Here is a 16,355-nt window from a genome sequence, read left to right as displayed (position 1 = left end):
AGAATTTAAATATATATTTTAAAATAGCATCCTGCCGACTTCTGGTTCTCATTTGCCAAAACTGGGTCAACTGGTTCCATGCCCTCCTAAACAAAGAAGCAGCAGATTGTGTCATCAATGTGGACAGATCCTGATTCTAGCTCTTGGGTGAGCATGTGGCTGTCCAAACCCAAGCAAGGTGAAGTTAGCAAGAAAGAGAGGCGGGGGGAGGACTGCGGGCAGGAGAGAATCTGCACAGCTACATGGATTCCTAGGAGAAGTTGGGTCCCATCCATGAAGCTTTGTGGATAAAAGGGAGAAGGCCAGGGGCCTGAGGAACCTTCAGTGCCCTTCTGCAGGAGCAAAGCAGTGAGGCTGAGCAGCAGTGCTGGTGTGTGAAGCCCCATACTTCTCCAACATGGTAGGGGACGAATGGTTCTTCAGGATGGGGCCCTGCCCGCTCTCGAGTGGTAGCCCAAGGCTGGGCACACCATGATATCCATAACACAAAGAGTTGCAAGTATTGGAATCCCCAGCCAAGAGGCAAATTGATTGATTTAGGGACCTTGTACTTCCAAGGGCAGCTTTCACAACAGCTGGATTCCGGGGCTGTCTCTTCCTCCTTCCAAGTCTTCATCCCTCAGTGCCACTCCTCTCCTTCCGCTGCCACTGGGCCCTTGGGCCGCAAATGGGCTTCTTCATCTGGAGGGAGAGACGGCTGCTGGCAGCCCAAAGTCTCTGTCCTTACAGATCGTGACCTAAAGGGGAGAGGAAGCTTTCTTCCCTTCTGCTTCCCAGGAAGAATTCTGAAGGAACTGGTTTGAGCTACATCAGTACCCCTTGGACTGACTGGAATCACGTGCCGAGTCCTGTGAGCCTCTGAACCATGCTCATGCCTGCATTCCACACGTATGGAGCCTCATCTTCATGCAGACACTGCTGTGGGGGCTGGAGGTGGAGTGGTGAGCAGCCCAGGTAGGAAGAGGCAGCACCGCCCACATGCACAGTCTGCCCCCAGCCCCATGGGAGATGGGTCACAGCAGGATCCGTGGTCACTGCGGATTTCCAGGTGAGTGCTGTTGAAGGGAAAAAAGGCAGGATGGTGAGTGAAATGTTAGGACGGAGCATCGGGCAGGCTTCACTGGGTGAAGGACAGCCAGAAAAAATCTGCATGAGATTAGGGGGAAAGAGGTCCCAGATGGGAGGAAGCGGATCAGACCAGCACGACCACCACAAGCACAGGGTCCGCTTGGCTCTGATGTTTAGGGGTGAACACAGACCGAGGCCAGAAGAGGAGAGACCTGAAATGTCCGGAGCCCAGAGCCTCAGCTACATCTAACTTCACATTTGCACAGATCACTATTGAGCACAAGGCTATGCTACCTGTCCCTCCCCACTCCTGTCTGCCGGAGCTCACCTGGGACAGAAGACAGGACTTCCAAACAATGGGATGTGAGCCAATGCCTTGTGAGGGGAGGATTTCAGAGAATGTTATCGGACAAAGTGGACCCAGCCCCCGGCAATTCAGCCTTGTTGGTCACACAAGACCTGTGGCCATTCTTGGGGACAAGCACAGAGCCACAGCAGGGGCTGTCACCTGTCACATCCCTGGGCTGAGTCCACAGGGGTCCCTTCGCTGATCTCATGCGCTTGTCTGTAATAGCAGTGCAAGCATTTGAGTGTGGGGTTAGCCTGACTGCACAGAGGCAGGGCATCCAAAACAGTAGGATATCTGTGGCACCTGCGAAGGCAGGGACACTGGGGGGACGCTTCCTTCCTTCCAGGGTTCCCTCCAGCCTGCCTCAGGCCCTGGGAACTTTATTTTAAAGAGGAAACTGCTGAGAACGCATGGAGAGGTCGCCCCAGTGAATCTTACTTCCTGATCGGATCCTGGTTCCCCAGCAAGAGAAAGGCCGGACGATTTTATGAAGCGAGCTGGAGAACCAAACCCTCCGTCCCTATGACTCACGCGGAAGAAACACACGACTTTGGTAGACTCCCCACGTGGCTTTTTGTTGACCTCTGAAGAACAGAGGTCAGAGAAACTTTACCTTTGGATTTAAGACTACCTGGATGAGACCAAGGAGTGTCTTCCCCCTCCCGTTCCCCATCCCCAAAGCTCCTGTTTCCTCTCCACTTGTCTCAAGTCCCTAAGAATTGGAGCTGCCTTCTGAACGGGATGGAGCTGCTGGTTTATGATTCTCTGCACTCCATTAACTTCAAATGCAGATCAATGATCCATAAAATATAGAACAAGGAAGCCGAGGAAACACCGCTAGGCTCAGAAATAATTTTCAAACATTTCTGTGTATCAGAAATGGAACAGAAACAAAAACTAAAGGATTTTTAAAGGTTTTAGAAAAATTTTTAAGAGAGCGTCTTTGACTCTGAGGAAAGGAAAAGATGTAAATAAGACATAAAACAAAAGTCATAGAAGAAACGGCTGAAAAATGTGGTAACATTAAAAAGTTTTCCATTTCCTACAGTAGTCAATACTGGAGAAAAAATGAAAATACAAACATAGAGAAGACATTTGCAATGCAGATAACCAATGTCTAAGATAAATTAATAAGAAGAAAGGCAAAACCTGATAGGCCTATAGATAACTTACAGATGAGAAACCATAAACAGCCAAAAACATGCATTTCATTTTTGAGCCTCACAATTAACTAGAAACATGTGTATTAAAATAAGAAACCATCTGGCTTGGTTGGTCAGAATCAATGTTTGGCAGGAAAGTAGTCTGACCAGAGCCATCCTACACTGGTGGAGAAGAGGAAATTGTTCAACCACATTTTAGGGCAATTTAGCAAAACCTGGTAAAGATGAAGATGCCCCCAAATTGTATTTCTAAGCAAATACCTGTGCAGTTTAGAAAGAAACTCTTCCAGCTAGGTCTACGGAGACACGGATCAGAACATGTGTTGCTGAGTTATTCGTGACAGCAAAAAACGGAATATAATTGAATTTCCATGAATAAGAAAATGGAGAGATAAATCGTGGTGGGCTTATGAGGCTCACTACTACTGCACTGCTGTTGAAATAAGCAACCTGGAGCCACAAACATCAGTGTGGGTCCAAATCTCCCAAACGAAGCAAGTGACAGACAGCATGATGTTTACATAGGATGTTAGAACATGCAAATTGTTTATGGATTTATATGTGAATCACAGTTCTCCCTGGGCATACACAACGCTTCTGTGCTCATAGAATAAGGTACACCCTCTGGGCAGACACATTTGAAGGAAGCAGCTGGTGCTGGCTCTGGTGGGGCCTGTGATGCAGGGCTCTGGGGTGCAGACTCCCTGTAGCCCCAGCTCAGCCCTGGCTGAGTGCTCCTCGCAGGGCACAGCCTATGAAGTCCCCAGGGTAGCCCTGATATGACGCCAGTGTAAGACTGTGCAGGTGGAACAGTAAACCAAATCCCGCATGTTCTCACTTACGAGTGGAAGCTAAACATTGAGTACACACGGACGTAAAGATGGGAACATTACACACCGGGGACTCACAGAGGGGGCACGGAAGAAGGGGGATGAGGGCTGAAAAACTACCTACCGTGTGTGCTGTGCTCCCTACGTGGGTGACAGAACTCAAACCTCAGCATCATGCAATATAACACCTAACAAACCTGCACATATACCCCGAATCGAAAATAAAACTTGAAATTATAAGAAATATAAAAGCATGCAGGTAACAAAGGACACATTCAGGAGGGTGGGGGCCTCCGGGGAGGGAAACAGTGGAACGGGGCTCTGAGGTGAACTGCAGGGGCCTCAATCATGTTATATTCTCATTATGATGTTCTCTCTGCCTCTTTGTTTTAAAAATATTTCACAGCTTACTAATCACTGAAGCAGAAGAGCTGTGTCCTGGAGACTGCAGGTGCCCAACCTGGCCTGCCTCTGCCTGGCTGGAGCCTCCTGCAGGGCCTGGCCCTACCCAGGCCCCACAGTGCAGGCCCAGGAACCCCAGGAGTTGCATGTCTGAGGGATGCCCTCTCCTGCTCCTGCTCCACATTCCCCAGGAGCCTCCCTACCTCCCTCTTGGACCCTGGGTGTCCTCTGCTACCCCATTACCCCAGAGGCTGTGGGAGGGGCTGAGCACTGGGGTCTTGGCCATGCCTGTGCCCTGCACCAGGTGCCCACCCACTGCAGGGACACCCTGCCTTGCACAGTGACACTCTCTGGAAGGGGAGTATACCTGCAGCTGCCATTGCCAGGACTGCTTTGTTACCCACATAATCCTCACTGCCATCACCCACCCCAGGTGCACAGGACATCCTGGTCATTTGGGTGAAGCATGCCCAGCTCAGTCACTGCCTGAGGCCTCGCCTTGGTCCCATGTGCAATCCCAGCTCCATCACCTTGGTCCTGCCCCAGCGCCATGTGCAAAGCCAACCTCCATCTTTCTGCGTATCCAGACCCCCTGCTGCTGCCTGTGTTCTGCATGGAGAAGCCTTCACAGAAGGTTCACTCTCCAGCTGGTAAATGTGGCTGGTGCCCCATGTGCTCCCAGGAGAGACGGTGAGTGCCCCCCATCCCTGTTACTCAGTAGGACCCCATGCCACTCTCTCCACAGGGACCCTAATGCCTCTTGCCCTCAGTAGGACCCTGTGCCCCCATCCTTAGTGGAACCTCGAGCCCTCTGTCCTCAGTGGGACCCCACGCCCCGTCCTCAGTGGGATCACGTGTCTGCTCATAGCCCTCCGCACACTTCTGGGCTCAGTAAGTCCTAATATGCCCCTGCCTGGCTCTTACACACCGTCTGCTTCTACAGGGTGTTATATCTTCATTAAGATGGTAAACTCCTAGGGACAGAGGCTCTGTTCCCCCTTCCTTGGCCACTCAGCAGCCTGCCCAGCACTGGTGCTGCACACCCAGGTGCAGACTGGGGAGCCCAGCTTGCAGCACCTGAGCCTCTTTCTAGATCAGAAGGGACCTGGGTGGGGGGGTCTCCGCTGGGGGCAGGGCCGGGCTTCCCTGCGAGCATTCCTCCATTGGTGACCCTGCTACCTCCAGTGGGGAGGAAAATCCAGGTCCAACCATCACACCGGGAGCCAGGTTGTGCCATGAAGAGGACTAGCATGAGCCTGGGGTTCCACAGGCCTGGTTCAGTGCCCTGAGCCGCACACACCGGCTGTGTGTCCTTGAATGGTTACTATCGTCTCTGTGCCTCTGCCAAGGGGGTAAGAATATGCACCCACCTTAGCTGGTTGCTTTGAAAAATAAATGAGGGGATATGAAAGCAAGGGCCTTCTCAGCAATCCTTCGCTCTCTTCATGCAGGACGGTGAGCGAGAAGCCCATGACGCTGGCATGGTGGTTCCGGCGGCCCTGTGAATTCAGTGGGTATCACTTCCATTGCCCAGGAGCAATGCCCTCACCGCAGAAACCCCACAAGACGCCCTTAGCGTGGCGGCTGACGTCTCTGCGGACAACAGAGATTTTCCTGTGCCTTTTGGATCATCTGTGGGAACAGCGTGGGGTGCTCCGCCTTATAAGGCACAGGTGCCGCCACTGTGGGGTCAGAGTTCTGATTGCTTTTAGATTGTGTCTGTGCCGGGGAAGACGAGTGAACACAAAGTAAATCACCCTCACTTGGCGCGGTGATGGGGACCAGCCTGTGAGGCAGCTTCTGTCCTCTTCGCTCCTTATCTCTTTCCTCTCTCCTCACCCCAGCTCCTGACTTAATTCAGTGTCATTCTGGAATATGAAGCCCAGCCAGAATGGAAATAGAAAGCCAATCACATTACCACAAAAAAGAGAGAAGAAAAATAAAAATTTGACTGCAATAAGAAATGCCCATTTCTGTTAAATGAGTTAAATTTTTAAGAGTCTATCTTTGGCCAGGTGCAGTGGCTCACACCTGTAATCACAGCATTTTGGGAGGCCGAGGTGGGTGGATCACCTGAGGTCAGGGGTTCGAGACCAGTCTGGCCAATATGGTAAAATCCTGTTTCTACTAAAAATACAAAAATTAGCCGGGTGTGGTGGTGGGTGCCTGTAATCCCAGCCACTTGGGAGGCAGGGGCAGGAGAATCTCTTGAACCCGGGAGGTGGAGGTTGCAGTGAGCCAAGACTGCACCACTGCACTCCAGCCTGGGCAACAGAGTGAGACTCCACCTCAAAAAAACAAAACAAAAAAAAAGTCGATCTTCAGGTGTTATAACTTTCTAAATAAATAGAATTACAGGTATGTTAGAAACTCAGAGGTTAAAAGGACAGAAAGAGCCTTCCCATCTGAGTGTTCTGTCCAAATTCATCCTCAGCCGAGTTCCCTCCCTGCAAGGAGCCAACCCGGGACGGATCCAGAAAGGGACTCCACTGCATCACACGGTGCATTTCGTTAACCAAGCCGAGTCACGGGGAGGGAGAATGAGACGTGTGTCATACCCGCCCCCTTGACCACTTCCTCCTCCCTCAGATCCACCTTCTCTTGTGCTGTCATGGCAAGAGGGCCTGATGGTTACAGTGCGAGCCATGCCGTCAGAGATGGAGGCCTGCGGATCCTCCGATTGCAGCGAGGGAACCCAGAATTAATACCTCATTTCTGGGTGGCTTATAAAGAAAATGAGAAGAATGTATCTGGATTCCTAGAATGAGAGCATTGACTCGGACAGCTGGCAAGTTTACCCATGGAACTGCCGTGTCTCCACAGAACTAATTGGTATTTACACCGAGTCTTCCTTGATCTTTACAGGCACACTTTGGAGACATTGTGGGTTCTGTTCCAGACCACCACGATAAAGCCAACATATAACAAAGTGGTTCACACAAGTTTTTTGGTTTCCCAGTGCATTTAAAAGTTATGTTTACACTATACTGTGGTCTACTGGGCATGTCATAGCATAATGTCTAAAAATGTATATACATTAATTTAAAAATCCTTTATTACTAAAAGTTTTTAACAATCAGTTATCTGAACCTTCAGATGATTGATGAAGGATGTTCCATCAATCCTCAATTGATCGAAGGATGTTGATGGCTGCTGACTGATCAGGGTGGTGGTTACTGAAGGTTGGGGTGGCTATGGCAATTTCATAAAATAAGACAGCAGTGAAGTTTGCCACATCCCTTGACTCTTCCTTTCACAAAAGATTTCTCTGCAGCATGCGATGCTGCTTGACAGCACTTCACCCACAGTAGAACTTTTTTCAAAATTGGAGTCAGTTCTCTCAAATCCTCCTGCTGCTTCCTCAGGTAAGTTTACGGAATATTTTAAATCCTGTGTTCTTGTTTCAACAGTGGTCACAGCATCTTCACCAGGAGTAGATTGCACTTCAAGAAACCACTTTCTTTGCTCATCTATAAGAAGCAACTCCGCATTACTTCAAGTGTTACGAGATTGTAGCAATTCAGTTGGGCTCCAGTTTTAATTCTAGTTCTCTTGCTCTTTCCACCATATCTGCAGTCACTTCCTCCACAGAAGTCTTGAGCCTCTGCAAGTCATCCGTGAGGGTTGGAATCAGCTTCCTCCAAATCTCTATTGGTGTTGATATTTTGGTCTCCTCCTATGAATTACAAGTGTTCTTAATGCCATTTACAATGGTGAATCCTTTACAGAAGGTTTTCTTTTTTTGTTATCGTTTTTTTTTGAGATGGAGTCTTGCTCTGTTGCCCAGGCTGGAGTCCAGTGGCGCAATCTCAGCTCACTGCAAACTCTGCCTCCCGGGTTCATGCCATTCTCCTGCCTCAGCCTCCCAAGTAGCTGGGACTACAGGCATCTGCCACCACACCTGGATAATATTGTTTTGTATTTTTAGTAGAGATGGGGTTTCACCGTGTTAGGCAGGATGGTCTCGACCTCCTGCCTTGTGATCTGCCCACCTTGGCTTCCCAAAGTGCCGGGATTACAGGCATGAGCCACCGCACCCGGTCTCCAGAAGGTTTTCAATGTACTTTTGTACTTTGCCAAGATGCGCTAGAGGAATCACTATCTATGGCAGGTACAGCCTTACGAAATGTATTTATTTTCTTTTTCTTTTTTTTTTTTTGAGGTGGAGTTTTGCTCTTGTTGTCCAGGCTGGAGTGCCGTGGTGCAATCTGGGCTCACTGCAACCTCTGCCTTCCGGGTTCAAGTGATTCTTCTGCCTCAGCCTCCCGAGTAGCTGGGATTACAGGCATGCACCACCAAACCCAGCTAATTTTGTATTTTTAATAGAGACAAAGTTTCACCGTGTTGGCCAGGTTGGTCTCGAACTCCTGACCTCAGGTGATCTGCCCACCTTGGCCTCCCAAATTGTGGGGATTAGAAGCGTGAGCCACTGCACCCGGCCCATGAAATGTGTTTCTTAAATAATAAGAGTTGAAAGTCAAAATTACCCCTTGATCCATGGGCTGCAGAATGGGTGTCGTGTTAGCAGGCGTGAAAGTAACATTCATCTCCTTGGGCATCTCAGAGCTCTTGTGGGATCAGGCTGTGTTGTCAATGAGCAGTAGTATTTTGAAAAGAAACATTTTTTTATCTGAGAGTGAGTCTTAAACGTGGGTTTAAAATATTCATTACACTGTGTTGTAAACAGATGTGCTGTCATCCACACTTTGCTGTTTCATTTATAAAGCACAGACAGAGTAAATTTAACGTAAATTTTAGGGCCCTAGGATTTTCCGAATGGTGAAAGAGCATTGGCTTCAACTGAAAGTCCCTAGATGCTTTAGCCCCTAACGAGAGAATCACCCTTTGCTTTGAAACTTTGAAGCCAGGAATTGACTTTTCCTCTATAGCTGTGAAAGCCCTAAATGGCATCTTCTTCCAATAGAAGGCTGTTTTGTCTGCATTGAAAATCTGGTGTGTGTGTGTGTGTGTGTGTGTGTGTGTGTGTGTGTGTGTGTGTATCCATCATCAGTGATCTTGGCAAGATCTTCCAGGTAACTTTCTGAAGCTTCTCCATCAGCACTTGCTGCTTCCCCTTGCACTTTTGTGTTATGGAGACAGCTTCTGTCCTTAGACCTCATGAACCCACCTCCGCCAGCTTCAAACTTTTCTTCTGCAGCTTCCTTACTTCTCTCAGATTTCATAGAACTGAAGAGAGGTAGGGCCTTGCTCTGAATTAGGATTTGGCATAAGAAAATGTTATGGTGGGTCTAATTTATTCGGAACACTCAATCTTTCTCCATATCGGCAATAAGGCTGTCTCTCTTAACATTTGTGAGTTCACCGGAGTAGCACTTTAACTTCCTTCGAGAATTTTCCTTTATATTCACAACTTGGCTAGCTGGTGAAAAAGTCTTAATTTTTGACTGATCTAGGCTTTCAACCCATGCCTTCCTCACTAAGATTAATCATAGCTAGCTTTTTATTTAAAGTGAGAGCCATGTAACTCTTCCTTTCACTTGAACACTTCGAGGCCATGGTAGGGTTCTTAGTTGGCTCAACTTCAATATTGTTTATTTCAGGGGATAGAAAGGCCTGAGCGGAGGGGGAGAGACAGGGGAGCGCCGGTGACCGGAGCAATCAGAACACACACGGCATTTATTGATTAAGTTTATTGTCTTATGTGGGTGCCTCTCATGGTGCCCCAAAATAATTATATTCATAATATCAAAGATCATCACAGATCACCATCACAGATGTCACAATAAGGACAAAGTCTGAACTATTGTGAGAGTTCCTACAATGTTATCCAGAGAAATGAAGTGACAACATGCTCGTGGAAAAGTTCCAGCAGAGGTGGTGGATGCCAGGCTCCCCCCATCTTCAATCTGTCAAACATGATATCTGTAAAGTGCAACAGAATGATGCGCACCTGTAGTTAAGAAGGTTCTGCAAATGCTTCTTACATCTTTTCACTATTGTGACAAACAAGACACACAACTGAAGCAAAACTTGCATAAACCCAAATGCTCAGGGAAAGGTGGCTCCTTCATGGGATCCCAGGAAGTCATCTCCGTCCACCTTGACCGTGAGTTCCCATTCCTGGCCCAACTAAAGTCAGGGAAAGGCAGCTCCTTCATGGGATCCCAGGAAGTTATCTCCATCCACCCTAACCGTGAGTTCCCATTCCTGGCCCAACTAAAGTCAGGGAAAGGCAGCTCCTTCATGGGATCCCAGGAAGTCATCTCCATCCACCCTAACCGTGAGTTCCCATTCCTGGCCCAACTAGAGACAGGGTCTAAATTGTATTGACTTTGTGGTCAGTTTGGAGCGTGTGTGTGTGTATGTGTGTGTGTGTGTGTGTGTGTCAGACTTTAGGAACTGTGAATGGCAAATGTTTTTTCGCTGTCTTAGCCAAATTTCAGCTTATGTCTCACCGGCACATCAACCCAGGACTCTTAGGAGAGGGAGCTAGTAGCTGTATCTATCGCACAACTATGAAAGGCTGCATAACAACTAGAAAAGCTTGGTGACAGACAACATCAGCACTGATTTGGCTGTGGGTGGTGCTTGGCCAGGGTTTGCCTGGGAGGGGCTGGGCTCAGCTGCGGCGTCTTGGTTGTGCTGCAGAATCTTCCATGCTCCTCTTGCACCAGCAGCCCAGACAGACGTGCTCTTGATGGCAAAGGCAGGGGCCCAAGAGAGCAGGCCCGACCCCTTCAGCACTTTTCATGACTTGCTCATGGACACAACTGCTCTCATGCCACTGCTCACAGCAAGTCACACAGCTGAGCCTCCAGCCAGCGGGTGCAGACGAGCAGCCCCTCAGCCTGCCCCACTGCAGTGCAGTCCTGAAAGGTGGAGGGAGGGGTGAGGAATTGGAGTCATCAATGACACCTGCTGAAGTAGCTGTTTTACTCCCTAAACACAAGTTTCTAACCCTTAGTGCCTGCTTGAAATGTGTGAAATGCGTGAACAAGAGGAAAAAGGGAGAGAATAAGGGAGACAAGAAGAGAAGAACGACGAGTTTTGTTTTACTTTTCTTACTTTTCTTTTTCTTCATTTTCATGCCCGGCATTGATATAGTGCCAGACTCAAAATTAGTTGGTGAGTGGCTTTGGGGGCCCATCAGTCACGTTTTGAGTGTTCTCTGCTAATTTCTGCTAAACGCATCAGACATAGGCTTCTTTCTTTCCTAAATGACTAAATTATTTTTAAGGAAATTTTCTTTAAAATGGTAAATAAAAATAAGACATCTTTTCAAAACATAGCTGTACAACAGTTTCCCACCTGCACGTTTGTGCCATGGCATGTGTCCTTCCGATCGTAAGCTTTGTCAATAATTGAAGCATGTGCTGGATGTAAGCCCAGCCTGTGAGCATTGGTCCTGGTGTGTCTGCCGCAGACGCACATGAGGACCTGGAGAAGGGCCTTGGAAATTGGACATCGCCTGCCTCAGCAGCCAGCATCCAGGTAAAGCGTCCATTGCCCCGTTTCAGAAAGGCCTGAGGTGGCCAGAGGAAAACCACGAGGCAAAGTCAGTGCAGGGGTGTCTCCCCCATCGGCTCCCTTATTAAAACAGGCAGGGTGTGTGGCTTCTCCTTGGCTCCTGCCCCTTGGCTCTCTAAGGGCTTTGCTGGCCACAGGGGTGTCAAGGAAGCTGGACGTGACTTCCCAAGGTCCTGCCTTCTGCTCAGGATGTCCTGGCTGTGTCCCAGCACTCCCATTTTTCCTCTGTTTTGTGTCGGAGGCTCACTTCCCCAAAGCCTGCCTGACTTCGTTGTTCTTGGCCATGGCAAGTCCCAGGACACTTATTTATGTTTTAATAAAATGGATTCAAATCTATTTTTCCACTGGAATCTGAATCTTTTATTTGTTTATTTTATTTTATTTTTTGAGACAGAGTCTCGCTCTGTAACCCAGGCTGGAGTGCAATGGCGCAATCTCGGCTCACTGCAACTTCCGCCTTCCGGGTTCAAGCGATTCTCCTGCCTCAGCCTCCCGAGTAGTTGGGAGTACAGGTGTGTGCCACCACGCCAGGGTAATTTTTGTATTTTTAGTAGAGATGGGGTTTCACCATGTTGGCCAGGCTGGTCTCAAACTCCTGACCTCAGGCATTCTGCCTGCTTCAGCCTTTGAAAGTGCTGGGATTACAGGCATGAGCCACCATGCCTAGCCTGGAATCTGAACCTTTTAAATGTATCACAACTGTGGGGCAACGTCAGGGCCTGGGTGGGGTGACCACAGAGAAGCTGCGAGTGGGCCTGCCGAATCGAAGGGTTCCTTTGCCAGGTGGGGCTAATGCTCATTAGCCGCCCAGAGTTCCCGTGCATTCCCTGGGGTTTCTGAGACTCCCTGCCACTGCTCCTAGGGGTTCTAAGCTCTGCCATCAGCGATGGGCTGAGGCCCTTCATTTCCCCTCTTAGTCTCCATCCGTGCCCTCTCTGCTTTGAGGGCCCTCATGCTTTCTTCCCTCCAGGGCGTGGACCTGGTGCAGAGATCTCATCTGGGCTCTGGGATACCTGGTTCTGATTTGCAGCCATAAGCTCCTTCCCCCCGGGGATGGCCTCAGCCTCTACTTTGAGGAGGAGCCTCCTGTCGTGTCCTCCCCTGGCCCCTGGCTCTCCGTCCCTGTGCTCCACAGCATCTGTCCTCTGGGAGCCGGCGTGAGTGCCTTCCCCAGGAATTGGAGACCGGGAAGATCTTGCAGCCTCCACCGGCATGTAGCTTCACAATTATCTTGTCACAGCTGGGATAAGGGAAGGAGGGAACATGGTCCCTGTCATGGTAGTTTTACATAGCTGTGTCACCCTTCCTCCTGGCCCATGTCCTCTTCCCCATACCCTGGTGGGAGGTCCCAGGTGAGGAAGCTTGTGTGGCGTCTGTGCTGCTGGCCCTTTAGGAAGCTGGGTCCTGCAGGGAGACCAGTGGGCATCAGCAGAGCCAGCAGCTTCCCCCTGGAGAGTGGGCTGTGGGATTCTGATGACTAAGACGCACTCATAGAGTCATTTGTCCTTCGTAGGGTGATCTTGGACTTGTTGTTCAAACCAGGACACCTTTGAGCACCTGGATCTCTGGGTCTCCCTGCACTGGCTCAATGGCTATAAAAGCAGGGTGTCTCCACAAGTCAGGGCATGAGATGGTCCTATCTGCAAACCGGCATTCCATGCCCCTTGCTCAGCATGGGGGTGTTGGGGAGAGGTGGGCAGGGACAGACATGTGGTTCCCACAAGCCAGGATCTCCAGTGTCTCCAGGAACAAGGCAGATGGCAGGCAAGAGGGCAGGGTCACTGGAAAAGGCATTGGGAATAAAGTCCCAACACTCGCCCCCGGCCCAGGCCCCCAGGAGAGGAGCAAGGCAGCGCAGGGCCCTGCCAGGACAGGCTGCTCCACGTTGGCACCCTGAAACCACTTTCTTACATTTTGCTGCCCTAAAAATGTAAAAGTAGAAATACGTTAATCGTTCCAAATTGCTGTTTGTGCCTACAGATTCTCAGTCGTAAGGCACCAGACTCTGAAATCGGTTTATTTGATGTGTCTTTCCAGCAGGAAAACATTCCGGTGTGACCCATGCGCCTGTCCAACCAACCGAGGCTGTTAGGATGCCGCTATGATCTGAGTGTGTTCCCAGAGTTCAAGTGTCGAAAACTTAATCCCCAACCCAACAGTGTTGGGCGGTGGGGCCGAGTAAAAGATGACTAAGGAATGAGGTACATTCTGTCCTTGTGAATGGATTAGTGTTGTCATCATAGAGTGTGTTCTTTATCATGAGGGTGGGTTTGTTATAACAGAGAGTTGAGCTCCTGTTGCATTCTCTCTCTCTCATGTGTCTCTCTCTCCCCTTCTCTCAGCTGGTGCCCTGGGATGGCACAGGAAAAAGGCCCTTGTAAGATGCCAGCACCTTGATATTGCACTTCCCAGAACTGTGAGAAATAAATGTCTTTTCTTCGTAATTATCCAGTCTGTGATATTCTGTTTTAGCAACACGCAACACAGACTCAGGCCGATGCCAAGTACAGCTTTCATGCAGAGGTTCCAGGCAGCAGTGCTTAACCCAGCACCCACCATGCTCCCTGCAGCCCTCTGTGTGTGGCACCCACTTTCTCGGTGAGAAGTGGTCTTTATTGGTGAGTGTTGGAGGAATTCCTTGAGCTGTTGATGTGTGGAATGTTCTGGGGCAAGGCTCTTGGGGGCACACACCTCCCAGGAAGGCCAAGTTCCATCCCAGGCTGCAGGCTCACCCTTAAGCCAGCCCAGCCCTTTTCTCATTTCTTAGCAGACGTATTTCTGGAGGTATCGCTGCACCTGCAGTGGCTGTTTAATTGCCGTGGGTGGAGGTATTCCATTATTTGCCATTAATTAAGGCTTGTGTTTTTAACATGACATGAATGCAAGGTAGCCATGTAGCTAAATTTCATCTTTTCCCCGCAGCACTTCTTAAATGATTGGAAGGAGGGGTTACTCAACTGGTGAGACTGACAAGGTTTTGTGCCAAATTTAAAAAAATGATATTTGGGGGATGCATGTCCTCCTATCAGCCTGAATAGTGAATGGTCACATGCCGACACCGGGTGCATTCAGCAGGCTCTGCCTGCACTTCCTGAGTCTCATACAGCCTTGCCTGGTAGCTGCTGTCTCACTATGAAGCAGAGGAGGAGAGTGAGGGTCCTGATGCATAAAGAACAGGCCTGGGGCACAACCCAGGGGCCATCCTGGAGGGCCACCAGGACATCAGGACATAGGTGCTGCACTTCCCTCATGGGTGAAGGAGATGGGGCTCAAGGGCACTGCCCTTTCTCTATTCTGGGGTCCCTGCTGTGTGACTATTTTCTGGAGGCCAAGTTATCATTGCCTGTCACTCAGCATCTGCACAGTACTCCCAGCCTGAGGCTTCGAGCTGTTAGGGAAGGAGAACAGGACCCCTTGCTGCTAATCAAAGTGTTTGGAGAGTTCTTCTCTCCTTTGAAGCCCCGAGGCACATTCTTTGATCTTCCCAGCCACCTACCTTCCTCTGCCTTGTCTTCTCTCTCCTCCATGCTGTCCTGCCCAGCACAGGTTGGGAAGGCATCGACTTTGGTCACAAGGCTCACCAGGGCTGTGCTGTGTTATCAGGGCTGGAGTCTTCCCTTCCCTCACCTGTGGGACGCACGTGTGATCTGTGCAGTTGCCAATTTCTTTTCTGTCTCTGAAATGTGCCTTTTGTCTGACTCCCTCATTAGTTAGCCTCAGATCCTGCAGCACTCACCCACTTGGATTCCTCATGACCTTCCCTCCTGCCCTGTGCCCCAGACGGAGACCTTTGCACCCTTCCCTGAGTCCCGGAGGATGACCACCACCTCCTGCCCTGTGTCCATGGATGATAACCATGACATCCTGCCCTGTGTCCCAGGAGGAGGACCATGGCATCCTGGGATGATGACCATCGTCTCCTGCCCTGCATCCTGGGGTTATGACCATGACGTCCTATCCTGTGTCCCGAGACCATGACCATGGCCTCCTACCCTGTGTCCCAGGACGATGACCATGGCCTCCTACCCTGTGTCCTGGGACAATGACCATGGCCTCCTACTCTTGTCTGGGGACAATGACCGTGGCGTCCTGCCCTGTGTCGAGGGAGGATGACCATCACCTCCTGCCCTGTGTCCTCAGAGGATGACCATGGTGTCCTATCCTGTGTCCACGGACGATGATCATGGAGTCCTGCCTTGTGTCCTGGCAGAGTGACCATCGTGTCCTGCCCTGTGTCACTGGGAGCATGGCCATTGCCAAGTGAGATAACAACTTCCATTGAGCTCAGCCAGTGGGAAGCCCCAGAAGTGCAGCTGTGCAAATGGGAGAAGGGTCTAGCATGGGAGGAGAGGGAGCCGGATGTTAGTTCCAGCAGCGGCCAGGTCTAGCACAGTGTCTGTGCTTTAGGAGCCTTCTTCTGTAGCTGTGACTCCCTCTAGCTGCAGTCATACCACCGCCTCTTTTCAGCCTTCCTGCTGAGGGGTCTTGGCAGCCCTCATGCTCCCACCTGCTGCCCTGTGCTTGGCCAGCCTCGGTCCTTCCTGTAACCCACAAACAGTCTATTTGTCCAGCCACCTTCTCTCCACCATGCATCTCAGTGGGGATGATGGGGGCAGCAAAAATGTATTCTTGGAAGGCAGAAAGATTTTACATTTTTTTTTTTTACATATATAGCACCAATATATACACAGTACATAAGCAGGGACAGAGTCTGTGGTGTTAACATTTCATGGAAGGCCATTTCAGGAAAATGTCTGAAAAGGCTCCTTAGGGGGTAATTATGGAAAACACACTGGGAAACCCCCCATGCGGCAGAAAGCCACGGGCTTTGGGATCAGAACAGGGACGGCAGGGCGGGGAGGAGAGGGTGGACTGCAGAGGCTCTCAGCAGATGGGGCGGATCTCAGGGACTGATCTTAGGGTTCTGTGAGGACAAAGCCAGGAGATTCAGAGACACCAGATTATGGCCCTGAGCAGTGGCAGGCACCGCATCGGGCAGGCAGAAACATCAGGGGCATGGGTGGAAGGGAGCAGGGCAGGTGTCTGCGTGGGGGC

At 50.1% G+C, this 16,355-nt stretch overlaps 4 annotated features.

Moving 5' to 3' along the window:
- Positions 549-1,337: an enhancer, noted in NCBI's record as "H3K4me1 hESC enhancer chr10:132834858-132835646 (GRCh37/hg19 assembly coordinates)". NCBI's record gives its function as "activates a minimal SCP1, AML or CMV promoter by ChIP-STARR-seq in naive H9 embryonic stem cells {active_cell/tissue: H9 hESC(naive)}" and the evidence as "EXISTENCE:reporter gene assay evidence [ECO:0000049][PMID:30033119]".
- Positions 1,338-2,127: an enhancer, noted in NCBI's record as "H3K4me1 hESC enhancer chr10:132834068-132834857 (GRCh37/hg19 assembly coordinates)". NCBI's record gives its function as "activates a minimal SCP1, AML or CMV promoter by ChIP-STARR-seq in naive H9 embryonic stem cells {active_cell/tissue: H9 hESC(naive)}" and the evidence as "EXISTENCE:reporter gene assay evidence [ECO:0000049][PMID:30033119]".
- Positions 12,588-13,518: an enhancer, noted in NCBI's record as "H3K4me1 hESC enhancer chr10:132822677-132823607 (GRCh37/hg19 assembly coordinates)". NCBI's record gives its function as "activates a minimal SCP1, AML or CMV promoter by ChIP-STARR-seq in primed H9 embryonic stem cells {active_cell/tissue: H9 hESC(primed)}" and the evidence as "EXISTENCE:reporter gene assay evidence [ECO:0000049][PMID:30033119]".
- Positions 14,474-15,083: an enhancer, noted in NCBI's record as "NANOG-H3K4me1 hESC enhancer chr10:132821112-132821721 (GRCh37/hg19 assembly coordinates)". NCBI's record gives its function as "activates a minimal SCP1, AML or CMV promoter by ChIP-STARR-seq in naive H9 embryonic stem cells {active_cell/tissue: H9 hESC(naive)}" and the evidence as "EXISTENCE:reporter gene assay evidence [ECO:0000049][PMID:30033119]".

The sequence above is a fragment of the Homo sapiens genome, chromosome 10 (assembly GCF_000001405.40).
Source record: "Homo sapiens chromosome 10, GRCh38.p14 Primary Assembly".
NCBI classification, from domain to species: domain Eukaryota; kingdom Metazoa; phylum Chordata; class Mammalia; order Primates; family Hominidae; genus Homo; species Homo sapiens.
Note: the sequence above shows the minus strand (reverse complement) of the source record. Positions and strands in the feature narration are given on the sequence as shown.